This window comes from Homo sapiens, chromosome 8, assembly GCF_000001405.40.
Source record: "Homo sapiens chromosome 8, GRCh38.p14 Primary Assembly".
NCBI classification, from domain to species: Eukaryota; Metazoa; Chordata; class Mammalia; order Primates; family Hominidae; genus Homo; species Homo sapiens.
In genome coordinates, this window is record NC_000008.11 from 22,872,190 (window position 1) to 22,898,902 (window position 26,713).

Below are 26,713 nucleotides of genomic sequence, written 5' to 3' on the forward strand. Positions count from 1 at the left end.
TATGATATATGTATGAAATCAAGTAGCTTGAAAATGGTGGAGTCAGGATTTGGACATGGGTCTTTTTAACTCTATCCATTGTCAGTAGAGTTAAGTCATGTGTGTACTGCACAGTGGCCCTCAGGCAAGAGGGTGACTAAAATCCAGACCCTGTCCCCGTTGCCAAGCCACACCTCCTGGCCTAGGGATGAATCAGGCCAAGAGACAGGACCCCTTTTTGCAGTTTGCACGAAGGTGCTGAGGATGCTGGCTGCAGCCCTGTGCAGTGGAACCTGCTCTCTGGGACTTGCCAGGGCCATGTGTGCCTTTTCTGTTAGGACAGGGGAAAGGGAAAGAAAATGAAAGTCTTTTGTTCAGTACGTGGAAAAATGAAGAGGCAGAAAAGTGATCTTTCCAATACCTTAAATGATGAAGGCACTGCCTTCAATGGTTTTAAGTCTTCCTGACTGTTTACTCTTAGCTACTTTGATTTTCTAGGTAAAACTGGTTTAAAATTTTTGTTTTTGAGACAGAGTCTTGCTCTGTCACCCAGGCTGGAGTACAGTGGCGTGATCTGGGCTCACCGCAACCTCTGCCTCCTGGGTTCAAGTGATTCTCCTGCCTCTGCCTCCTGAGTAGCTGGGACTACAGGCATGCGCCACCACGCCTAGCTAATTTTTGTATTTTTAGTAGAGACAGGGTTTCCCCATATTGGCAAGGCTGGTCTCGAACTCCTGATGTCAGGTGATCCGCCCGCCTCGGCCTCCCAAACTGCTGGGATCACAGGTATGAGCCACCACGCCCAGCCTAAATTTTGATTCCTGACTTCCAGGGTCTTTTTACTAGATCAGGGAAGATTAGACATAGAAAGGGGAAGATTCTTATAGGCAAAATTAAATTACAGCCTAAACTGAGTAAATTCTCACCAAAATCATTCTTCCCCAGGTGAGTATAAAGAGAAAGGGGCTGGAGAATCTCCCGAAGCTGGTACAGTTATTGGCGAGACTGCACCTGCATTGGTCTTTTTAAACCCATTAGAGTCTTAGTTATATATTTCTTCTTTCTCTTCATTGTCAGCCATGGAGGAAAGGATGCGATGAAAAGATGTCTTAGGAGACAACTTTATATTTTTCCATTTACGTTAAGTTCACCAAGATAGCATTTAAAGTAACCATGCTGGCCAGGCACAGTGGCTCATGCCTATAACCCCAGCACTTTGGGAGCTCAAGGCGAGGAGGATTGTTTGAAGCCAGGAGACTAGCCTGGGCAACATACTGAGATACTATCTGTGTGAAAAAGTACAAAAAAAAAAATTAGCTGGGCTTAGTGGCACAGGCTTGTAGTCCCAGCTACTCAATGGGGCTGAGGTGGGAGGATCGCTTAAGGCCAGGTGTTCAAGGCTGCAGTGAGCCGTGATTGTGCCACTGCACTCCAGCCTGGGCAACAGAGCAACACTCTGTCTCAAAAATAAACAAACAATCGAACAAAGTAACCCTGTGAATAGAGCTGTAGATTAAACATACTATACTCAGTGTAACATCATCATGGCCTGCTTGAGAAATTAATGTTGTCTTTAACATACCGATACTCATTTTTATTCCTGGGGAGATTACTTGCAGCTTGATGGGTACATGTGGAATATTGATCGGGAGGTCGGGGGGAGTCCCAGATCTTGATCTTGGGGGTGTTAGGAGAGATTTAAGAGTTCCCCCAGTGTGTGAACTTCAGGATTTGTAGGATTGGAGCCCCTCCCTGTTTCTCTAGCTTCCCTCAGCTGGCTGGTTACCACATTTGTCCCTAGCTCTAGGGGCAGTCAGTTTGCTAAGCAAATGGAGGTGAAAAGCCAAACCCAGCAAAAAATTCCAGGTCTCGACATCTTGGTCTTCCTAACTAGCTGTGTGTGTGTGGAGCCCATCCCGCAGCTGGGGCCTTGGGGAAAGTGTGGAGGCCACCAGAACACGGATGCCAGAAGCCCTGACTTGTGCAGCTCAAAAGCTTGAGGAACTTCAGTTAAAAGAAAATAAGGTTAGAATAGTGGAAAGGGAAAGAAGTGGAAAGCCCCTGTTTAAATACCTGGGAAAATGAAGAGGAAAAAAAATTATTATTTCAATTACTATGAAAATGTATTTTATTAGAAGATGGGGATTCATCATTGACACTCAAAAGCCCGAAAAGCAATATCCCGCACTATAATACCCCTGCCTCCATGCAGGGAGAATGAGTTATTAAATTGGAAGATGAATGTTTCTCAGTTCAGTTAACTGCATCCGTTAAAAAAGAAATAGTTATAAACTTGCTGTGGGTCCTCAAACCCTCCCCGCTAAAGCTGTCTCTTGCCAGCCCCCAACCCTCTGTATCTTCAAGCATTTTGATACAACCCCCCTTTCGTATTTCTACGGCATATGAAAATTCAGGAGTAAGAAAGAAAAAAGTCAGCAAATTAAATGCAAACCAGAGGTTTTTATTATTATTATTTTAAAAAACCAGTTGCATATAGTTCAATTGTGGCAAAGTGCGACAATGTAAATGCAGTGCTTTCTTATGTATAACAGCTTTTCCTCCACTCCTATGGCAGCCTCAATAACGCAGCGCTTCTGTTCTGCATGAATAAATATGTATAAAATGTAATGCTGCAAAGAAAATCCGATAACTGAAAGATACCATTTCTTAGATTCCGGGAGCAACATGAGGCATCAGCTTTTCTGATTCTTTGGTATTTATGTGAAGAGCCATTGAAATGATAATTTGGAATTTATTATTTTTTTTCAGGGGCAAGTAATTTCCAGCTGTCCATTGGGGCTTTAAGAAATGGAGGTTCTGGTGGTCTACCTGCCCATCCTGTTTTCTGGGTGGGGTCTGTGACTTCTTCTCTGCTTCTCCATTCAGCCCATATACTCACAGCCTGACCATCCTTTTCCTTCGCCACCTCAGGACTCAGCCTCGTTAGTGAAATAATGAATTTAGCCCTCGGAGCCAGCTGTGCTTTTTCGCCCCCGAGACTCAGGTGCCTGATGAGTTGCAAGCTCAACACAATTCCCTGCTCACAAAAAGGGAACTCACTCCTTCCTCTCTCTAATCTTGAAATCGCATAGGATAGTATTTTAGAAATAATGTATATGTGAGCCCCTTTTATTTTCTTTTTCCCCTTTCTTCTTTTTTTAACTTTTATGTTAGGTTCAGGGGTGCATGTGAAGGTTTGTTACATAGGTAAACTCGTGTCATGGGAGTTTGTTGTGCGGATTACTTCATCACCCAGGTATTAAACCCAGTACCCAATTGTTATCTTTTCTGCTCTTCTCCCTCCTCCCACCTTCCCCCTCAAATAGATCCCAGTGTCTGTTGTTCTGAGCCCCACTCCTTTTTATTTTTTTATTAAAAGAGGAAACTGCTTACAAACTTTGGCACTTCTTGTCTCTAACGTAAACACTTGGGACCCCGCTTCACAGTTAGTCTTGACTTAGTCCCCTGTCGTCTGCGAAGGCTGAAGCTGGGAATTATTAGCGTCCAGGTTGTCTAGTTCCAGTCCCCAAGGCTTTCACAAACTGGCCCCAGCCTACCCTTCCTGCCTGTCACCCAGCACGTCACCCACCCGCACTGTCCAGAAACCCGGCGAAGTCTCAAGCCACACTTCTACTTGCACCCTGGTCTTTCCAGATCTTGGTATTGCATTGAGTCTTCCTTCTACCGGCAATGCTCTTTCTAGATTTAGAATTTTTAGCTTCAAGATTCTGCTCAGATGTCACCTGTTCTTTTTTTTCTGAGGCAGACTCTCACTCTGTCGCCCAGGCTGAAGTGCAGTAGTGTGATCTTGGCTCACTGCAACCTCAGCCTTCCAGGTTCAAGTGATTCTTGCACTTCAGCCACTGGAGTAAGCTGGGATTACAGGTATGCACCACCACACATGACTTATTTTGGTACTTTTAGTAGAAATGGGGTTTCGCCATGTTGCCCAGGCTGGTCTAGAACTCCGGGCCTCAAGTGATACACCAGCCTCAGCCTCCCAAAGTGCTGGGATTACAGGTGTGAGCCACTGGGCCTGGCCGACAGATGTCACCTGTTTTGCAACCACTTCTTCCCTTATTACCGCAGCTGCTAACACGTACCATGCGTACAACGGTGGCGTGTCTACTGGCTCTGCCAGCCTCCTCTAGGGTGGAGATCAGATCTCAGCACTTTCTGCATCACCAGTGCATACGGCCCATGGTGAAATTAACAGCATCCAGTGTGTGTTGAAGGACTGAAAGGATGAACCACCCAGAAGAGACAGTATCCAGCGTATTCTTCCAGTGCTCAGGATTTTCTTTTTGGCCTCATTCCAGGAGAGGGTTGGCAGGACAATACTTGGGAGCACTTGAAAAGCAAGAAACTCAGGAGAGAGGTCACCATCCAGTGATGAAGGCACTACCAGTGATGACATGTTCTGTCTCTACCTCAACTTGCAGCCCAGGGGCACCTCACAAACGTGCTTCATCGATGACAGTGTATGTTTATAGCGCTTGTGTTGTTGTGAAAATAAACAGCACTTGAAGTGTAAAATTAGAAGTAAATAAATGAGTTAGGAATTATTTTCTCCACTGTTTAAACAAAGCTACTTCTCAGGTGGGACATTAGCTTCCTTGGAGCAAAGCCAAAATCTGGCTTGGTTAGCCAGAAAATGTAAACACATTTCTGTTAATGTTCAGGGTAGAAAGGAGAACCTCTCCCTTAACTGCTGTGTGAGGCTGGACTAGTTATTCAACCTCTCTGGGCCTTGGACCCTTATCTTTAAAATGAGGCTAATAGTGCCTCCTTCATTAAGTCTTTGCCAGGACTGAAATGTACATTTCATAGCATGATGCTTGGATCAGAAAAGCACTCCATATATATTAGCTATTTGAATTATGATTTGGGTTTCAGGGAGTTTATTCCACCCTTATAAACATATCAAGTGGACACCATGTTTTGGTCTTTTCTTTCCTCCTCAAACCAGGCTGTGCTGAATGGGAATCCTCAAACAGCCCTCAGCCTCAGGGATAAGGTGTCCCAGCCATTTCTACTGTAATGGCTAAGAGCCCTTTTTGTCCAGTCTCTCCCTGTCCTCAGTTGTCCAGGTGAGGACAGCTGACTTTGGAATAGAAAGATGATGGGGCTACGTGTCCTTATTGTGAATCAAAACGTCAGGTCCATGTTTTGATTCTGAGGTCAGAATCAAACCAACCTCCTGGTTGGTTGGCAGGTCCTTGGGACTTTTGTGCCTTCAAAATGTCAGGTTATTTGCCCTGACTCCAGTAGCCCAGCACGACCCAAGTACTACATTCTTGGGCAGAGCCAGCCAGAGCCAGGAGGCACTGACTTTGTCTCTCCGTAGCCAAATGGCTGGGAAACTAGCTGGGAGGAGAGGAGGTGAGGCCAGCAGCTTGTGAACACACGGGCGGGCTCACTGTTGGCAGCGGGGAGGAGGCTCCTGGGCTGGGCTGAGCCCAGCCACCCTCACCCCAGGGGCCCACCACCCCACCTCCCCACCTCCCCCTCCTGTTATGAAACCCACGGGGACAACCACACATGTGGGCAGCCGGGGGCTTTCCTCGAATTGACAACAGCTTCTCGCTGTCGCTCGGCAGAACATGAGCTGCTTACATAAACACTGCCTCAGAGACACCTGCAGTGTGGGACGCAGGGAGTCGGAGGAGGGTGGAGGGAGAGGCAGAAAGCTGCAGGGTGAGAGAACGGCTCCCCACCCCACCATGGAGGGGCCGTCTGTGCATCCATACACTGCACACGCGTGCGCAGACACACACACACACACACAGACACACACGAAGTTGGTTACTTTCTCAGCTGTAACCAGGAGGCAGGGAAGAAGGCAATGCAGTCCTCATTCTTTAGAGACTCAACCTGTGTCCCCAGCCCTCCCCACCTCCTCCCACACCCCCCTCCAAACTCAGCTTGGCTGGGAAAGGAAACTCCCCAGTCTGCTGTGCTCCTGCAAGCTGAGTGTTTGCAGGTGAATCTACTCCAGGTACAGGAGCAGCTCCTGAGGGAAAGGGGGTGGAGGGTGAGCATGGAGAGGGAGGGGGAGAGGGAGGGAGGGAGGGAGGGAGGGGCGGAATCCCTGGAATTTAAGGTTAGAGAATATAGTAGGGGACTGGCCTGGTAAGATGGTATTTGGGGGCCTCTACGGAAAACACATCCTGCAGGTCAGACCAGCATGGGCTCTGCGGGAGAGGGTGGAGGGTCAGTGCATGCTCAGTGGGAGGGCTCTGAGAGGTGGCAGGACCCGGCCGTGTGGCAGTGGCCTTGGGTTTCCAAGTGGTGCTTTCTCACTTTTCTGCCCGTCAGTTTACCTGACACACCAAGTGACTGAGATTGCTGCCTGTGAGTTACCCTATTGCTCATATCTAATCACAAAGCGCAGACAGGTGGGGAGGGCTTCCCTCTCCGGGCCTGGCACCTCTGGGTTTGGGTACTCTGGCCTCCTTCCTCTGGGATGCTCACTCGGACTCTGCTACTGGCCAGCCTGAGCAAGTCGGCAGAGCACAGGATCTCCAAACAGGGGTGCATTCCCTGGCTTCATCAGAGAGGAGGCTTGGAGCTCAGGGAACAGAGAGCAAACTGGATGTCTAGGCCAAGCTGGATGCCAAGGGGAAAATAGCCCTCCTTTTGAAAGTATTCTTGCATTTTAACTGTCATCACAGTTAAGCCACCACGGGCAGACCCTGGAGGCTGGAAGAGGGCATCCAGAATGATGTTGGGCTGGTTTCTTATCACAGAGCACCGGGTAGGGGGATGAGCTAAAAATTATAGTTCTTGTTCCCAGCTTAGCGTGGCTATGGGGCGGGTGGTATCTCCTCTGTGTTCCTTCATCTCTTTAGAGACTGAAAGAGAGGACAAGCCCTTCCCCATGGGAAACATTTTACTATGCTCTATCCTAATCTCATCTCAGAGCCCACTCACAGTGAATAGATCTCAGCTAGGAAGGGAAGCAAATATCCCCAGTGACGATGAAGACCAGACATGGAGGTTTAACTGATCTGTGTGAGGCCACAGAACGAGAGTGTGGCCTCAACGCTCTCAATGTTGACAGAACAGCACTCAACATATTGCATTGCGACATGTCTGCTTCTGGACTGCCTATCCCACCAGGCCGTGAGCGCCCCAGAGGTGGGAACTATATCTTAGTCACCCTTGTACTTTCAAGCCTCACAATGGGACCTGCCGAAAAAAGGGCACTCAGTAAACGTCTTGTGAACGCATGAATTGGTGAGTAGCAGAGATGAGATTTCAAGCCAGTGGGGAGAGAAGAACACCTCTCAAAAGGAATGTTGACTCCAAGAAACATCAAAAGAGGGAAAGAACCTTGAGATTTTCCAATTCCAGCTCTTCAATCTACAGAAGCAACTGAGGTCCAGATAGGATAGATCACAGGCTCATTCCCATATAGCTAATTGGAGGCAGAGCCAGGACTACCACCGGGCTATTGTCACCACGTTATCCCACGAGGGTCGAGGGTCGGGGAGGACAGGGAGCCTGCCCAGGGGTGCTTCACACCGGGGGAGGTGTGATTTCAGGCCTTAAGGCACACACACGCTTGAAAATAAAACTGTGTAATTCAACAAACATCTGCAGCAGCAATGCAATTATCTCTGAGATCTAAGCATTGATCGATGGGAGTTTTAATTACCAAAATTTCTCCATCCTCTTCCACAGAAGAAAAAAATTTTCTGGTGTGTTTATTTCATGGCAAAATATGGTAAGATTCTATGGCACACAGAGGGGTATGTTGCATTTGGGAAAAGGGTGTTAAGCACCATTTTTGTTGTGGCGGTTGTCTCCGCAGATGAAAATATTGTTCCTTTTGATCTCTCAGACTGAAAAGTAGATTGCCACATGCATCCAAATTTGGCTTCAAGTGGGAATAGCTCTACCCAAAGTGGGGCCTGAGCAAGGGGATGGGGAGGAGAGAGCCGCCTGGGGCTCTGCCCAGGGCCAGGACCCTGAAAGGAGTGGATGATTGGGAGGGGTGACAAAGCACAGGCACTCGAGCCTAGGGGAGACTCAGCTAGAAGGCGAGACAGCAGCCCTGAGTGGGCCCCACCTCTTCAGTGGGTGCCCATGTGACCTTAGCCACCTCAACTACTGTCCCTGCCATTTACTTCACAGGGCTTTTGTGAGGGTCAAATGACATGAGAACTTGCTTTGAGAAGCTCAAAGGGCTCTATAAATGTGAGGTATTGTTATTTCGGCAGGAGGATGCAGATGGGGGCTATAGATGGCCGCCCTGGGGTTTTAAAGGAAAAACTTGTTCAAAACCGCTCCTGAGGCAGCGATCACCAGCTTTACACTCGCATTGACTTCTCTTTCAGGGCAGCTGTTGGTGTACGTGTTTTGTTTCTGATGCTGAGACCCTTCCTGAACCGGATCTCCATCCCTTCACTGAGCAGGTGCCTACTGTATGGCAGGTGCATGTGGGCTCTGGGGACAGCTCCAGGTGGCCCGTGCCCTCCTCTCCGCCAGGTGCTCTCCCTACTTGCCCTTCCCGATACCTTCCTCCCCATTCTGCAGCCTTCTCTCGGCCATGCAGAGATGGATGTGGAGTGGCCCAGGTGGACCAGTGAGGGTGGGGAGGGACCCACTGGGGCTCTGGCAGGGGCAGCCTAGACCCAGACTCTGCTCAAAGCCACTGGTTCTCCAGCCCACCAGGAGCTTCTATAGACCTCAAGACCTTGATGCAGTCCCCAAAGAAGGGGAAGCACGGGGCCAGGGCCAGGGCCTGGGCCCTGCTTGCCCTTGCCAGGTCCCACCACCCTTCCTGCTCTGCTCTGCCTGGGGGAAGAGGTGGGGACTGACCCCCATGGCTGCACTTCCCAGGCTTCCCAGATCCTCTGGATTTAGTTTGGGTTGAGCCATCTAGAGGTACTGGCAGGAAATTAAAGTGCAGGAGGGAAGAAGAAGCCAGGATATTCCTACCTCTCCCTCTTGGCGTCCAAAAGTGACTGTGGCCTTGAGTGTGTCCATGGGGCCCCACAGGGCTCCAGTGTCCCCAGGGATGCCCCAGTTTCTGGACTCTCCCAATCCCACATCCTCCCTTTCTCCATCCAGCCTAAGGGCGGTAGTTGCTCATTTTGGGGTGCCTCTCACCCTCTTTTTTGGCTCCTCAGACCTTCCTATCACCTACAAGGACTTGTGCCTTTCCAAGTGTCCAAGGCTGGCCAACTTACAGACCTGGATGCAGACAGGCCAGAGCCCCTCAGACTCGGGCTTCCTGCAGCTACTGTATTTATCTGTTCACTTTTCTTATGTCTGTCCTGCTCTGCCAGGCTGAAAACTTCCTGAGTGCAGGACTGGGACCATCTCACTCGCAGTTGTATGTCCCCAGTGCCTAGAGCCATGCCAGGTATCTAATAGACACAAAATACTTGTTAAGAGAAGAAATTAGTGGAAATCCCTTAAGTTCCAAATAGCGTTCTCCCCATGGGGCAATGCTTCTCCTTTGGGATTCACTCTCCCTCTTTGGAATAACTCCCCCTGGAATGAATCTCTGTTGCTGCCTGGATCACACTCAAGCCATCCAGTCCTACATGGATGATCCTGCCCATGACAGAGGGAGGCAGTAGCATACAGCAATTAGGGATGAAACTGTGGAGTGGGAGGCCACGCTCCATTACTACTTGTGTGGCCGTGAGCAGGTGGGGACTATTGACTTAACCTCTCCACACCTAAGTTTCCCCAGCAGTAAAATGGTGCTGAGAGTGGCTACTCTGTCCTCAGGCTGTTGTAAGAATTACTCAAGGTAATAAGCGTAGAAGCCTGGCTACCTTGTGGGTGTTGAATCACTGCCATCCCTGGCTCAATGGGGCAGATGAGGAAGGGGTTGTCAATGATACCTGGGAGGCTTCTCCAACATGTGGCTGTCACTGGTTTTCTGTGAAGATTAGAGAACCCCCCAGCCCTCCATCTCATTCACCTTTTTCCTGCTTCTCCCTATCCTTTCCCCAGTTCTTCAGAGAAAATAAGCATTTAGAACTGGGATCCATCCTATCACTTTTCAGGGAAGGAAATGGGGACACAGGAAATCACAGCAGCTTTGCCAAGGCCCACAGCCTGTTATTGGCAGAACTGGAGACATGGGATGTCTTAGTCCAACTCTAGGAAAGTGTGCGTCAACAGCACCAGTGACCCAGACAGTGCTGGCCACACCCAGGCAGCCCTGCACTGAGCAGAGGGGGGCGGAGCCAGCAGGGGGTCCCAGTTGAAGGGAGGTGGGTGCTTTTCTTTCTTGACCTCACAGATCCAGGATTTGGGGTGGTGTGGAGAATGTACCACGACTTTTTGTCATGCACGCATGGTGATGCTACCATGCCCTATTTTGATCATGAACAGAGGGAGGCCTCAAACTGGCAGAAAAGGGACCGTGGCTCCCGGAGAGAAAGCAGCCGCAAATGTGAAACTATGAAGGTGTATTAATCGTGTCTTTTTATTCTGTAATTTTTGTGCTTTGACATTTTGGGGCCTCACTGATCCTGGAGGGACTGCCCCTCCCAGGGCTAATTCCTAGAAATAGGAAACTCCTCTGTGAGAACAATTTGCTTATGAAAACCTACCAGTCCAGTGCCCATACCACCAACCACCTCCTCTATCAGATTTTTACACTCCAGGCCACTATCCACCTGCCCAAACCACCCCAGGGTGGGTACTAGACCACTAGGAACAGTCCTTATACCCAGAGCCTATTGAAATGATTCATACTAACCAACCCAACCCTGCTCACCCTACCCCACCTGTTCCTCCCACGATGAAGACTCCTACTCAGGTTTTTCCCTAGTTCCCTCTGCCTCCCAACCGAGCCTGGGGTATCCCCCATGTGGCCCTGCGAGACATACCCCCTGCCTCTAGGGATCTGTGATTATAAAACTTCCTCCTTCATGAGAGCCATTTCTGTGTCTGCATGTCTTCCCACACCTGATTAAAACAAATCCCCGACACCATCAAAACAACAGGGGCATCTATAGAAAGCAGGGATTATGATGCTTGCTTAAAGGTTCAGAGATTCGGACCTGGAAGGATGCTTATCACAATTATCCTTCATTATATCCTTGATCCAAACACTTTCTGATGTGAGAACAGCCCCAAGGAGGCAGCAGAAAGTCCCATCAGTTTCTCACACTGAGATCAGCCTGCATAGTGTTTGCCACATCACCACTGCTTTGCATCACCCATTAACACACCCAGATCACTGTCCCAATACTCAAACCCACTCAAAAACCCACACCAGTGACCTGATCTCCCTGTGCCCCAAGGGGCTCTGGCCAGATCTCAACCTCCCACCCCCACATCCCTCTCCAGGGAAGGTTGTATCTGCACACTTAAAAAAAAAAAAAGGTGAGCTGAAGGTGGCACAAAATTAGTTCCTTCGACAGAAAAATTTGCTCCTGAAACACTCTGCCAACCTGCTAATGAGTCGTCTTGAACCTTGCGTGGTGTTACCTCTAATTTTGCAGCCTGCTAGGATTTGAGTTCCGTGGACAGCCTCACATTTGGTTTGGAATTATAGGCTGAGTTGCTGCTCACTCCTATTATTGTGCTGTCAATCTTGTATTAGCGCATTATAATATGGTACACTGAATGCATCTGTTCTGTATATCACAGGGCCTCATTGTCATTTGTTGAATCATTTTGTCTTATATGATTGTTAAGCAATTATTTCATCTCAGGTGGCTTAAATTTTGATTACTGTATACTATTTGCGGGGGATACAAAAAAAAGGGGGGACAACTCCACCATCAGCTGATTTCACCAATTCTCCGCTCCAGGGTTCACACATATTTATGTTGGAGTGCAAAGGCTTCCGATGCCCGGACACGTGTCCTCCAATCTGAGAAGGGAACCAGGGAAGGGGCTGGAGTTGATGCATCTTGACTTAAGGGCTGAAGAGTTGGCAATTTTGGAGGCCAGTGAAGAGCCACGTAGAAAATGTCCCGCTGCCTGCCATCATCAGCAGCTCCTCTTGCTCCCATCCTGCAGAGAGGGCTCCCACACAGAGAGCAGACACAGGGACCTCTTTAAAATGAAGATGAAATGCACCTGGTTCTACCACCTAGTTAGAAGCAGTTATGAAGGTTGAAGAGCTGTTATCTGAGATTTATAGCCCCAAATCTATGAGATAGACTCTCCTAATTAATAAGACAAGGATGACTAGAAAGTTGTGAAAACTACCTGGCAGGGCTTGGAGCCTGCTGTCACCACCACGATGATAGCACTGTCTTTGCTGCTGAGCCTATTAGAATGTCAGGATGTGCATTCTTCTCTCCTAGTGGGATGGCACGGTTCACCTGGCTATTACAGAGAAGCAAGTGCAGATCGTGACTTAAGGCTCCGGGAGGAGAGTTAATCAGGGAAGAGCTGGTTGACAAGACTCACTCAGTGCATGACTTGAGAGCACCAAGAGGGGGAAAGGGAGAAGAAAGAACCTCTTCCAAAGGCAGCATCCACCCCCTTGACAAAGGGCCATTTCCCCCAGCCCGGGGTGCTTTCTGACTTCCTTTGTTCCCCGATGAGCATTTTCTTCCTTGTCCCCAGCCTTCACATAAGTTCAATTCAACATCCTCTCTCTCTTCTCCCAATGTCCTCTCCTTAATTTTGCTGCATCCTCCAATGTGAATGTTTGCCTCCTGGTCTGGGATCTGTCTTATTCCCTTTATCTCACCTGAAAAAACTCTCCCCTTTAATCTCTGCTCATTCAAGTCCTGCCCATCCTTCAAAGTATGGCCAAGCTCACCTCTTCCAGAAAGCCCCACCCTGTGGTGTTATCTCCATCCTGAATCACAGCAGCACTTACTGTGAGATAACTATCAGGTTACATCTATCAGAGTTCAATGCACTCTCCCCAAATGAAGTGGACACTTGTTGGCAGTAAGAAGAGAAGCTTTTTGCACCAAGTGGTGCATTCAATGCAATGCAAGGAGACTGTGACGATACTGAAATGAGTATTACCCGGCCCCAGGAGATGAACACCGTCCTTGCTTGATGCCAGTTCATAAAGAGAGCTCTTGTTTATTGAGAGCTTATGAGTGCTGAGGAATTCACATAAATCATCTCATCTAAATTTTCCAACAATCATGAGATGGTTTCTCTTATTTCCTCCTTTTACGCATGAAGAAACTGGGGCTCAGGAGGTTAGATGACTTTCTCAGAGTCACACAGATAGTACAGGGCTGACCCAGAATTCAAGCCCAGGTCTGGCAGACTCCAGCACCCGCCCTTTGCCTCCACGACCAAGTACAAGCAGCAGGCTGGCACTGGCCTTTCCCTGCTATGACTGCCGAGCTGGGTTACACCTGCTGCTGGTCCCCAGCACCAGGCACACGACGTAACTGTGAGTCCTCCGAGTATGTGAGGGAGCTGGCACTCACCTTCTGCCTGAAGCAAAGGAGCTGTGCTCTTCCGTTTCAGTGTGAAAAAGCCTCAGAAGATGCCCAGCTTAGAAGGACACAAGAGACAGTCTGTGGACAACATCTCCACTTCCTGGCGTCCTCAGCACTGTTGCTAGTGAAGCTACTCTGCCCAAGGTCTCCAGAGAGCTTCTGAAAGAAGTCAGGACTCATGCATGCAGATGAATACGCCTCGTGGGTATTCACCAGGTCCTCTTGGGAAGCCAGCTCTGTGTCCCAGGCACACCGTCTGTGTGCAAGAGAAGGGGAGCACCTGAGTTTGGGAACTGCTTTCGTACCAGCTTATAGGCCACCCCAAGAACCGGCCTCCTGGCTTCCTAGTCACAGACCGCCTGCAGGGTTGACTTATGCATCCTTTTGCAGGAGACAGGCTCACTTCTCTCCTGTGACTAACATGGAATTACGGGTTAAGGAGGGAAGTTGTACTCACCTGTTGATTCATTTATTCACTCACTTGCTCACTCATCAATCATTTCTTCAACAATGAAACCCTTACTAGACAAATACTGACTCCCTGCTCCAGAATAACTATCTGTTCGGTGCTAGGACTGTCAAATGAGTAAGCGTTTCTTCCCACAGGCGTTCAGGGTCTATTTCTGCACTTTACAGACAGGCAAGACAGAAGTGATCAGAAGCGGCCACCAACCATGGAGTTCAGAAACACGGCACAGTTCTGGAAGAGGCGAAAGGCGGCTCTTCCATCCATGCTGGTCAAGAGGAAATTCAACACACCTCACAGCCATTGAATCTGACCAGGCGTGTAATACATCCCATCGTCTTGTCAGTTAGCAGCTGTGGGACCTTGAAGGCTTCTTAAATTCCCCAAGTCTAGACTTTCTTATCTTTAAAATGCAGCTGAAAACAATGCCTGTCTCATGGAGGTGTAAGGGTTAAATGGAATCATGTAGCAAGCATTCAGCACATGTCAAGTCCAGGTCAAGGCCAACATGCAGGGGCAGGGAGAGGTGTAACCTCTTTCAGTTTGGAGCCATGCAGGACCCTGCCATTTGCAGCCCTTTGGGGTAAGACTGTAGCCCCCAAACATCCTGCTGCCCCAGAGCAGTGGCCCAGCAGGTGCACTGAGAGCTCTGGTGCACCTGGCATGCCCCGACTCCTCACACAGCAGCAACAGGGACAGTGACAGGGACCTGAGATGGGGTGGCCCACCTGGCTGGCAGCTGGCACTGGGCACATTGCCCAGAAGTTGGGGAGTTCTCAGGTAGGGGCAGAGGTGGGTGTTTGAGGGAGCAGTTAGCAGCACTGTCTGCTGTGGCAGGGGTCTCCTGGGTAAGGTCAGAGGGATTCGAGGAGGCCCAGGGATCACCCCAGGGTGGGGTGGGACGCTGCTCAAGTCACAAAGCAAAGTTGCAGGGTGTAGGGGAGGGGATGGGACTGTTAGTCTAATTGTGACTCATCTCTCCTTATTTTTCTCCTTATCTCTTGTATTTATTTTTTTCAATCCTCCCAAGTTACTGGGCCTTGAGGACACTCCTAGTGTGTGTGTGTGTGTGTGTGTGTGTGTATGTGTGTGTGTGTGTGTATTTCTATATATATAATTTTTCTTTTTTTTGAGACAGAGTTTCGCTCTTGTTGCTCAGGTGGAAGTGCAATGGTGCGATCTCAACTCACTGCAACCTGCATCTCCTGGGTTCAAGCGATTCTCCTGCCTCAGCCTCCCGAGCAGCTAGGATTACAGGTGGCTGCCACCATGCCCAGTTAATTTTTGTAATTTTAGTAGAGATGGCGTTTCACCATGTTGGCCAGGCTGGTCTCAAACTCCTGTCCTCAGGTGATCTGCCCACCTCGGCCTCCCAAAGTGCTGGGATTACAGGCGTGAGCCACCGTGCCCAGCCACTCCTAGTATATTTTTATAATATTTACCAAATAAGACTGGGTGTGGTGGTCCATGCCTGTAATCCCAGCACTTCAGGAGGCCAAGGTGGGAGGATTCCTTGAGCCCAGGAGTTGAGACCAGCCTGGGCAACATGGAAAAACTCCATCTCTATAAAACCTTTAAACATCAGCCGTGTGTGATGGTGTGCGCCTGTAGTTCCAGCTCCTAGAGAGGCAAAGGCAGGAGGATCGCTTGAGCCCAGGAAGTCGAGGCTGCAGTGAGCCATGATCATATTTGCCAGCCTGGGTGACAGAGCAAGACCATCTCAAAGAACGTATTTACCGAATGAAGTTTTATGATGTTCTCTAGCACTTTTTAGTTTATTGTCTTTAAAAAGAAACCCTCTGAAGTGTCTCTGGAGAATACAAACGCATGCGCGCATGCACACGCTGGGAACAGGAGCTGCTTCAGTAGGTAACTGAGTGGGAGGGAGGTTAGCTTTTCACTGTGACCCTTATCTGTACACCTGCTAACTCAAAATAATTTAATAACAACAACAATGACAATAAAAAGGGAGTGAGTGCTCTCATTTTAATTGCTGTCTACTTATTTCCAGTTAATTGTCTTCCCCTGTGGTGGCCTGCAGGGGACTCCACACATCTTCTTTAGGACATAACTTATTGGATGCAGGGCCAACCTAGGATGTTTGGCCAACCCACCCACTTCTTTTTTTTTTTTTTTTTTGAGACAGTTTCGCTCTGTTGCCCAGGCTGGAGTGCAGTGGTATGATCGCAGCTCACTGCAACCTCCACCTCCCAGGTTCAAGCAATTCTCCCACCTCAGCTTCCTGAGTAGCTGGGATTACAGGCTCGTGCCACCAAGCCCAGCTGATTTTTGTATTTTTAGTAGACATGGGGTTTCAGCATGTTTGCCAGGCTGGTCTCGAACTCCTGACCTCAGGTGATCTGCCCACCTCGGCCTCCCAAAGTGTTGGGATTACCGGATGCCCCAACCCATCCAGTTCTAAAAGGACCGGCCACGGGAGAACCCTCAGTCTTGGCCCCTGCTATGAGGGTGGGGCTTGTAAGTGAGGTGGCCGTGGCTTCTGCCTATCTCTGGCCAGGCTTCTGGAGCCCTCCTGGGCTGGGCCACACCAGTTTGCTCAGGGGCACTGGTACCGCATCCCCAGATTTCCAACCAGAATCTCACACATCACTATGACATCATCTTCCTAAACCATTAATTTCATGCTATTCCTGTGCCCAGAAACCTGCAATGCCTCACTTCTGTCCCCATCAAATCTCAGTGTTCTGGGCCTCTGCCACCAGGCCCTTGTGCCCAGCTGACTGGTTCCTCACTTCTGTCCAGCACGCCACCAGGCCTTCTCTTCTTCCATGTCAGGAAGTGCTGGGCTCAGGATTCTTACACCTTATTCCCCATGCTGGGAGCTCCCATCTCTCCGCTTTCCTGGCTAACCCAGGGCTAATCCTGGCCACAGGCTTACTCCGCCAGGAAGCCTTCCAGGCTTCGGCAAACTCCCATATGCTCAGTCACTATGTGATTTAACCACTGAGAAGTACCTCTCATAGTTTATTCAAAAGTATGTTTGTTTTGTCTTCTCAAGTGGATCATAAGCTCTCTGCATTCCCATAGCACCAGGCTTACTGCCGGGCACAATCTTCAAACCTCGAAAATGACTTGATTTGATTTGGACTCAAAAGACCTGGGTTTGACTTCTGAGAGCCTGAGTTTGCACAGCTACAAAATGGGGATAATTTTCCTACCATACAGGATTTGTTGAAATCAGAGCTCGGGAGAGAAGCACCCATTTTGGAGCTGGGAAAAGGAGGAAAAGAAGACCATGGGAGTGAGAAACAGCAGGAGGCAGAGGCTGGGCCATCTGAGCCCCCTCAAAATCCAGAACAATGCAGGGGCTGAGAAGAGGAAGGTGGAAGCTGGGCTTTGGGGAGAGACCCCAGTCCCCTTCAGAAGATGCTACCCTGTTCTCCTTTCTGCTCTAAGGCTCCGGGGAGCTCAGAGTTTAGGGAGATGGTAAATGGGAGAGAAAAATTAAAGGCAAGAGAAGTCTAAGGAAGTCGTCAAAGCACAGCCAAGCAAACAGAACCCTTAAAGGAGGTAAAAGGTAATGCCGTAAATTACAGCTTAAAAGCCTCGTTTTGGGCAAATTGCTTTTTAACAAGCAGACAACCTCTATCAATAGCATCTACCGTATGTTTTTATAAAGTGCAGAAATATGTTTTTATAAAGTGCAGAAATATGTTTTTAAAAGGCCGGTAAATAAAGTTCCTATCGATTTGAACTCAAGTGTAATCTGTTTTTCTGTCTGCCACCAACACTGGTAATAAAGCAGAATCATGTAATACGGTATTTCAGCTAATGTGACTATACATCACTGCAGGGACGCCCTGCTCGGTGGCGATCTATCATTTTCTATTGGTATTGCTTAGCTGCAGAATTTATAAACTTGCTCCAAATTGATGCAATGTTCAATTTTCTTTTCCAATTTATTTTTGGTTGAGCCAAGCAATATTGAGGTCTCTGAGCAAGCCGCTGAGCACCACCAGATGTTACCTGGAAGACCTCATGCTCCTTGATAGGAGTGAGGAGAACATGAGCCAGTACTTGCCACTCTCAACAGGCACAGAGACAGAGAGCCCTGGAAGGAGATAGGTGATGGAGAAGAGGTAGCTTCCTCCCCTGGGGACTCAGCAACAATTGCGCTCTAGGAAATCCAGGGGCTGAAGGTGAAAGGCAAGAGAACATCCAAGAGAGAAACTGCAGTAATGAACACTCAAGAGTCTGAGACTTTCACTAAGCTGCAGACATCAGTTCAGTAGGTCTGGATGGGGCCCGCAATGGCACATTTCTACCAAGTGGCCAGGGAATGCCGATGCTGCTGGTCCACGGACCACACTTTGGGCAGCGATTCTCTAGAATTTTAGGAACTTTATGTCAATAAGCAACCTCAAGTCATAGACTTACAAATTTCAGCGTTGGAAAGACCCCAAGGTGAAATCTGGTGCATTCTCCATTCTCCATTATTTACATGGGGAAGGTATCATTAGCCCTATCTTTCAAACTCCCAGCTTCCCCTCTCTGTGCCCCAGTAGCACTGTGGGGCACACCTTCATAGTGGCACTTGCCACATCACACTGTGTTGTCCACCAGACAGAGTGTGTCTAGAGGTCACTATGTTCAGAGGCCGCCTGGCAGGTGGCAGGTAGCAGGCAGTGTGGCGCACAGAGTTTGGAATTAGACAACATGGGTTTGAGTCCTGACTTTTACCGGCAAGCATGCTTGGTCTTAGGCAAGTTACTTTACCTTCTTGAACCTCACTAGTAACTTGGGAATAAAGTTCTTTCCTCAACATCTTCCCCCTTTTCTTTTTTTTATTTGAGATGGAGTCTCACCCTGTCACCCAGGCTGGAATGCAATGGAGCAATCTCAGCTCACTGCAACTTCTGCCTCCCCAGGTTCAAGTGATTCTCCTGCCTCAGCCTTGCGAGTAGCTGAGATTACAGGTGTGCACCACCACATCCGACTAATTGTTTGTATCTTTAGTAGAGATGGGGTTTCACCATGTTGGCCAGGCTGGTCTTGAACCCCTGACCTCATGATCTGCCCACCTCAGCATCCCAAAGTGCTGGGATTACAGGCGTGAGCCACTGCTCCCGGCCCTTCCCATCTTATTAAATAGGATAACATATGCAGCATAATGACCTTGACACAATACCAGATGTCCAATAAAGGTCAGCTGTGTTATATATTTCTTCCATATGCACTTGCCAGATGAATGAATGAATGAATGCTTATGTGGCAGTCAAGGCAAAGCCAGTATAAGTGGCTCACACATAGGAAGATGCCAGGGCAGAAAGTGGGGTGGGAGCCATGGAACCAGGCTCCTCCTGCCCTCTGTCCTACCTCACCTGCTGTCTCCCACATCCTCATCTCCCTCCAATGAAACCCAAGTAACAAATCCAAGAAGTGTTCATTTTGGCCTCTTGGGCTGGTGTGATTCATCCCACTCAGAAGACAAAGCTGTTTGGGGGAAGGAGGAGTCTGGGTGTGGGGATGACAATACAGTTAGGCATAGTACTGTCTCTAGCACAAAATGGGAAGCTCCTGATGCAAAATTCAGGGTCCTGTGGGCAAATGTTCCATTTATTTATAGGGAAGTCTCAGAGAGATAGCTAAAGCCCTTAGTGAAGCCCACTTAGGTGGGCCCGCCTCAGACAGCAGAGGAGGAATGGAGCTGGGATTATAACAGGGTCTTCTGACCCTTCCTCATCATCCTCCCACCATGGACCACAGCCTCCTTCTCAGCTTAAGAAGCCAGGGAAGGGCCGGGCATGGTGGCTCATGCCTGTAATCCCAGCACTTCGGGAGGCCGAGGCGGACGGATCACGAGGTCAGGAGATCGAGACCATCTTGGCTGACACGGTGAAACCCCGTCTCTATTAAAAATACAAAAAATTAGTCGGGTATGGTGACAGGCGCCTGTAGTCCCAGCTACTCAGGAGGCTCAGGCAGGAGAATGGCGTCAACCCGGGAGGCGGAACTTGCAGTGAGCCGAGATCGCGCCACTGCAGTCCGGCCTGGGCGAAAGAGCAAGACTCCGTCTCAGAAAAAAAAAAAAAGAAACCAGGGAAGGAGAAAGTAGAGGGACTAAGAGTCACACTTCATTGAGTCAACTTGTGAGAAATAAAACTTTAGTAGTCAGCCTATTTAATGCTAAAATATCTGAATAGTTTTCTAAGTAATATCTTTTCTAAATTATTTTTAAATGACACGTATGGATTGTTTTAAAAATCATGGCATAATATACATAATTTAAAATCTACCATCTTAATGGTTTTTAAGTGTATAATTCAGTAGTGTGAAGTCCATTCACACTGCTGTGTAGCATCACCACCATCCATCTGCATAATGCTTTTCATCTTGCAAAACAAAAACTCCATACTTACCTCTGGTAGGCCAGTTTGGTGGCTTCATTCCTGGTGGAATAATTCCTGGAGGCCTAAGCTACAGCCTACTTCTCAGCCCATCTAACAATTTTCTGTATTAACTAGTTTTCTGCTTAAAAAAAGCTAGAGTATGGTTTCCATTTTCTGCAAGTAAACACGGACTGACATCATGTTTTGGAAGTAGAAGAGGTTGTAGGCTACAGAGCCTCATGTTTGGGGTTGGTTATCTGTCTGGTTGGATTTGAAGACAGGTAAAGATCTTCTGGTTCCAGCCAAGATAGAGTATCAGGAACCAGATTTACCCTACCACCTGAAACAATGAAAACACCGAACAAAATACATGAAACAATGGTTTCCAGATTTTGAACTTCAGGCAGTGTGGGGCAGTAATCAGCAAAAGAGGGGAAACAAATGAAGGTCTTACAATCACCCCAACTTACTGCCTGATAGAGTTTCTAGGCAGCAGTACAGAAAGAGAGAACCCAGGAAACCTGACAGTCACCTTGAGTTGAGGAGATAGAGCTCAAGTCCAAGGGGGTTAAGGTGGTCATGATTCACAAGGCAGAGGCAGCTGTGCGGGGAGAGAACTGTGGAAATTGCAGAAGGTCCTCTTTGAGTCTTCAGATGAGTACAGATCAGCATGCGCATGTGAGAAAACTGAGTCCAAAGAAATAATTCCCTGAAAGAAACAGACAGAAAAGTCTACAGGGCTCACACAAGGCTGAGAATAAATTTGTATTCCCACCAGGCAGAGTAAAAATGCCACAGAATTCCTGGGGCAGCAGGGAGAGTATTCAGCAGTGGGGCAAAATTAGCCCTAGAAAAACGCTGCTCTTGTCCTATTTACCAAAGTTTAAAAGCAAGTTTGAGAAGGATCAGACTGCTTTCAGTGAGCCTAACCACATGCCAGATCATAGCTCAAGAATATTTATGAGATTATAATGACATTTCACACCTAATGAAGTAAAAATCCACAAGTCTGGCACCTAAAAAAATTACTAGACATGTAAAGAAGCAGGAAAATAGAAACCATAACAAGGACAAAAAACAATCAATTGAAATAGACTGGGAAATGATACAGACAATGGAATTAGTACACAAATATATTAAAACAGTTATTATAACTATATTCCATGTGTTCAAGAAGGTAGGGGAAGGCTTATATATTCCCAGAGACATAGAAAATATTTTTAAAGACCCAATTCAGATTTGAAGAGATAACAATTTCATTGTCTGTGATGAAGAGTACACTGGATGAGATTTAACAGAAGGTTAACTATACAGAATAAGATATTAGTGAACTTGAAGACACAGCAATAGAAACTATTCAAAATAAAACACAGAGAGAAAAAAGACTGAAAAAAACCCACCAGAATAGCATATCAGTGAGCTGTGGGACATCTTCAAGTAGCCAAATATACATGCAATAGGAGTCCCTAAAATTCCCTTTTAGGGAATATTAGAAAAAATATTAGAAGACATAATGGCTGAAAAATGTCTTAATTTGATGAAAACTGTAAACCCACAGATCCCAGAAGCCCAACCAAAGAAATGCCAAGCACAAGACACATGAGAAAACTACACCAAACACATCACAATCAAATTGCTTAAAACCAGTGAAGATGAGAGCACAGGTTACCATTAGCAAATGTGTCACTGGCAGCCCGCGGCATATAGTAGCAAAATAATCTTGATTATCAAGTGTGATTACCTAGAACAAAGTACCCATTGAAGATAAGAGTTTGGCGGAATTGCACGATAGATTATTATGTCAGAATGATGAATATAAAGATGTTGGAATAAGATGACTTCTTCTGCCAGAAGTGGGAAAAGTAAAGAAAAATGGTTAGAAGCTTGAGGTTTAAATTCTTGGCACAGCCATGCATAGTGGCTCACTCTATAATCCCAGCACTTTGGGAAGCCAAGGCAGATGGATGGCTTCAGCCCAGGAGTTCGAGACCAGCCCAGGCAACATGGTAAGACCCTGTCTCTACAAAAAATAAAAAATAAATAAAAAAAATTCCAAGCATAGTGGCATGTGCCTGTAGTCCCAGCTACTCAGGAGGCTGAGGTGGGAAGATTGCTTGATTCCAGGAGGTCAAGGCTGCAGTGAACCGTAATCATGCCACTGCACTCCAGCTTGGGCAACAGAGTGAGACCCTGTCTCTAAAAATAAAATAAAATAGTAATAAATTCTTGGCTCAAGGCTCAATCAGAAGAGCAAGGAACAGTTAAGACTATCCTGAAAGAATCTCCCACGGTTTGTAGTTTCAGGGCCAACAAAACTGAAATCAGAAGTGAAGTCTGACCCAGCAGGTTGTAGAATTACAACCTAAGTTAAGTTCACAGCCTCATCAGGTCTCTTATGGGAGATGGTGTTGACTGGGAAAGATGGAACCCTGTGAATGGGGATGCTGAATTCATATAACTGAGTCTTAGACCCTGCTGAGCCTCCCTTTCCAGCAGAAGCTGCCCCTTTTCCCCAGGTCCTGTCTTGCAAGAGAATCCTGATTCTCCCTGAGGTCGACACTTACCACCCCTGGCTGCTCCTGACCTATTCTAGAATCAGATTTCAGCATGGCCAAGGGAGACAAGCACAAAGTCTGATTCTGAAACAGTAGACTTTCACACCAAAGTAGGTGCCATTTGTTTTTTAATATTTATTGGCAGAAATCTGAGAAATGTATAGTAAGGTGCTGATCACGGAGGAAAGAAGATCATTTTCAATTGGGCCATATTGATCAATATGGATTCTGGATCCAAAGTACTGGCTGGATCATCTGGGTATGGTTCTGTTCACTCAGTGGGTTATCTGAAATGAAACCTGAACTGAATGGCATCCTATACTAAATAAAGCTAAGGTGACAGAAGTTCCTTGATATAAAGCAAGGAATCTTAATACCTGGAGAGGCATAATAATGTTGGGGTGGGCTTACACATGTGTTCCCCACATACCCTCCTTCACTCTGTCCCAGGAGAACATACTTTCTTCACAAGCATTTAGACATGCTTTGGTGAGGGGGACACCGGCATTCTGTTTTCCTTGGTTGTCTTCAGAATTTATCTTTGGTTTTTAGCAGTTTGATCATGACACATCTAGGTGGATTTTTTTAAAAATTCTGATTAAGGTTCTCTGAGTATCTTGGACTTGTGGTATGTTGCCTTTCTTTAACAAGTTCTTGGTCATTATCTCTTCAAATAGTTCTACTCTGCTCTCTTTTCTTAATGAGATCCCAACTATACATATGTTAGACCATTTTATGTTGTCTCACAATGCTTGGGTGCTCTGTTCTGTCCCCCAGCCTTCTTTTCTCTCTTTATATTTCTTTAGATCATTTCTGTTGCTCTATCTTCAAGTTCACTGATTTTTCCAGTTTATATGTTACGTCTAATTTGCTGAGAAGCTTAAGTTCCTGTTTCAGTAACCTGACTAGTTTTCCAAGTTTGTCGGAAGTTCTGCTTTTTTGGCCACATCCTTGAACCCAGCCTAGGTGGCATTGGCCCTGCTTCCCATGGGCAGGTTTCTTCATGCCAGCCTCTCTGCCTGTGCTCCCAGTTACTGCCTACCTACTGCCCCCTCTGCCCTGGGGCAGATTTGCTGTGTGGCATCAGACAGTTGCCTGAAAGTTGCTGGTATTGTGGTTGGAGAGATGAAACCATGTTCCCAAATCCCACATCCTTGCATCAAGTAAGAAAAGTGCCACTGGAACCTAGAATGATGTGGGAACCCAGAAGAAGAAGATGTCCTAGTCTGGGAGGAGAGACAGGGAATGGAGCTTGGACAATCACTGTCATAGCTGGAGTGTGATCTGATGAAGATCTGAACTAGAGAAATACATAGGCCACGGTAATACTAATTAATCAGGAATGGTTGAGTTTTGCTCCCGCTGACCTATCAATTCTTACTCCAATGGCTCCTTTAACCGATAGTTGCAGTGTTCAGTGGGGTATTATCCAGGCTCCAACGTGTTTGCTCAGAGCCATCCTCAGGCTAAGGGGAGTCTTCCCTGATCTCCCCTCCTCATCCCAGTGATGGGGTTCCTTCCACCTCACCTGCTAGGGGTTTCTTGAGGCTCACTCAGGCGCACTCCTACTCTCACTTTCCTGACATTTTGTGTTTCTGATTCAGCATTTTCTGGCTCTGGGTATCTGGAGAACCACGTTACCTATTTCATTTCTCATTTACCCCAGCAGTCCTTGGCCTCTTTATTACTGTTCAAGCTAAGGCTCAGCAGTGACACAGACTCTCCCATGCCTCGTTCAGCCCTTGGTAGAAACAGCATTACACAGAGGTTGCAAGGTGACAACTTATGATAAGGCAGAATTTTGAAGGTGTCAGGTGCCTCAACTATGTCATGACCTGTTATATGACGCCTTAAAATCCACAGTTAGTGTCTCTTCCCTTTAACTCACTAGTTCTCTATGTATACTGATGTACTTGATAGTTTCTCTCTCTCTTCATCTCTAATATATATAATATATATGGTATATTTGGATATTTTTATATATAACATATTTAGATATTATATATAGCTAAATCTAAAATGGATAATATATCTATACCTATCTATATATATTTGCGTGTTATATATATACACATATATCTGTGTGTATGTGTGTGTGTGTGTGTGTATGTATATATATATAATCCAAATATACTACGGCTTAGCGTAGACATTGAGAGGTGGGAAAGATTTTTTTGAGGCATAGGAGAAACATTCAAAATTGAGTAAAATCTGTTTTTTCTGCTAATTGAGAAAATACAGCCCCTTTTCTTCTCCTCCTCTTCCATCTTCTTTAAATTTAAGACTGTTCAGACTCCTATCATGCAAAGTCCCTGGGGACAGATCACATTGTAAGCTGCTATCAGTCACCACACTGCAACGGGATGTGATGCGTTCAGAAGCACAGATATGGATGGAGGAGGGGAGGTAGAGGAGAATGAAGATACTGCTTGTCGAAGGAGAAGAGAGCTGTGGGAAAGGACACACTATGTGGAGTACTGAGGCACCAAAAACAAACCCTTTCATCGTCTTACTCAGGCTTATCTCTGCCATTTGACTCTTAAGACCTAGCTCTCTGGTTTTAGTATGTGTAAAAATACCACCGAGTATTTTGCTTTTCTTATTCAAACCTTACAACAAACCTATGAGATGGGTATTATTAGTTCCATTTTATAGTTGAGTAAACTGGCTTGGAGAGGTGAGTTTCAAAACCATTTCTATCTCCAGTCCAGATGTTTCCTTTAAACATCAAACTCATTAAAAAAATGCTTAACATCTCTCCCTGGATTCACACTCACCATGTCCAGATCAGAGGCCCTGAGCTCTTGTACTCATCTCCTAAACCTGCTCTTCCCTCAGCCTTTCCCATATGCTATGAAATGAACCATGTCTCCCAAAATTCCTATGTTGAAGCCCTAACCCCCAGTGTGATGGTATTTGGAGGTGGGGCCTTTGGAGGTGATTAGGTCATAAGGGTGGGGCCTTTATGAGGGGATCAGTACCCCTATAAGAAAAGACCCCAGAGACCTCACTCTCAACCTCCACCACGTCGGGACACAGTGAGAAGGTAGCCGTTTTCAAGCCAAGGAGGGAGCCCTCATCAAAAACTGAATCTTCTGGCACCTTGATCTCATAATTCCAGCTTCCAGAACAGTGAGAAAATAAATGTCTGTTGTTAATGCCACCCAGCCAGCCAGGCGCAGTGGCTCACGCCTGTAATCCCAGCACTTTGGGAAGCCGAGGCGGGTGGATCACCTGAGGCCAGGAGTTTGAGACCGGCTTGGCCAATATGGTGAAACCCTGTCTCAACCAAAAATACAAAAATTAGCCAGGTGTGGTGGTGGGTGCCTGTGATCCCAGCTACTTGCAAGGCTGAGGTGGGAGAGTTGCTTGGACCTGGAAGGCAGAGGTTGCAGTGAGCCGAGATCACACCGCTGCACTCCAGCCTGAGCGACAGAGGAAGACTCCACCCCAAAAAAAAAAAAAAAAAAAAAAAAAAAAAAAAAAAAAAAACCCACCCAGTCTATGGTATTTTGTTATGGAACCCCAAGCTAAGACACCATCACAGAAAATGGTCACTCAATCCTCCCAGCCAGCCATCAGTGGCTCAATCTAATACTCAGGTTCTCAATCAAAGTGCTCCAAGCTCTGGTTTGCGGTAAGTTTAGAAAGATAACCATAGACATTCATGCCCGAGGGAATGTTCCCCTCACGCCCTGCACACCCAAGTGAAAGCTAGAGGTGGCCCCTTGGCTGTTAGCTCCTCTTTGTCCCTTTCTTTATCCTCTGGAGTTAGTAAGTCCTTCTCGATGACCTGGCATAGAGGAGATACTCCTTGTAACAGAAAATGTGTGGTTGAAATCCAGGCTGAGGGGCAGGGCAGGTTGCGGGATGATAAAGGGGTGAATTTGGAGGGGCTGGGTCCTGAGGAGGCCCCCTTACTGCCCAGGAGGGAGAAGTTCAGGAAGGCAGAGAGGGACGGGC

General features: G+C 47.3%; 1 protein-coding gene and 2 long non-coding RNA genes across 4 annotated transcripts in view, besides 3 other annotated features; 1 reads left to right on the forward strand and 2 right to left on the reverse strand.

Annotated features, from left to right (window-relative positions):
* Positions 1–26,713, reverse strand: part of PEBP4 (phosphatidylethanolamine binding protein 4) — a 227,827-nt gene that overhangs the window by 158,939 nt on the left and 42,175 nt on the right. The gene's annotated exons all lie outside the window — the stretch shown is intronic.
* Positions 5,366–5,435: a silencer, noted in NCBI's record as "silent region_19015". NCBI's record gives its function as "represses an Ori minimal core promoter by ATAC-STARR-seq in GM12878 lymphoblastoid cells {active_cell/tissue: GM12878}" and the evidence as "EXISTENCE:reporter gene assay evidence [ECO:0000049][PMID:35858748]".
* Positions 5,783–15,833, forward strand: PEBP4-AS1 (PEBP4 antisense RNA 1). Its single transcript, NR_125433.1, has 4 exons — positions 5,783–5,962; positions 8,322–8,399; positions 11,769–15,054; positions 15,487–15,833. It is a non-coding gene; the product is annotated as a PEBP4 antisense RNA 1 (long non-coding RNA).
* Positions 11,182–11,241: an enhancer, noted in NCBI's record as "active region_27097". NCBI's record gives its function as "activates an Ori minimal core promoter by ATAC-STARR-seq in GM12878 lymphoblastoid cells {active_cell/tissue: GM12878}" and the evidence as "EXISTENCE:reporter gene assay evidence [ECO:0000049][PMID:35858748]".
* Positions 14,563–15,063: an enhancer, noted in NCBI's record as "H3K4me1 hESC enhancer chr8:22744265-22744765 (GRCh37/hg19 assembly coordinates)". NCBI's record gives its function as "activates a minimal SCP1, AML or CMV promoter by ChIP-STARR-seq in naive H9 embryonic stem cells {active_cell/tissue: H9 hESC(naive)}" and the evidence as "EXISTENCE:reporter gene assay evidence [ECO:0000049][PMID:30033119]".
* LOC124901907 (uncharacterized) lies at positions 22,862–25,917 on the reverse strand. Its single transcript, XR_007060854.1, has 2 exons — positions 25,528–25,917; positions 22,862–24,491 (listed from the first exon to the last, which is right to left on the reverse strand). It is a non-coding gene; the product is annotated as an uncharacterized LOC124901907 (long non-coding RNA).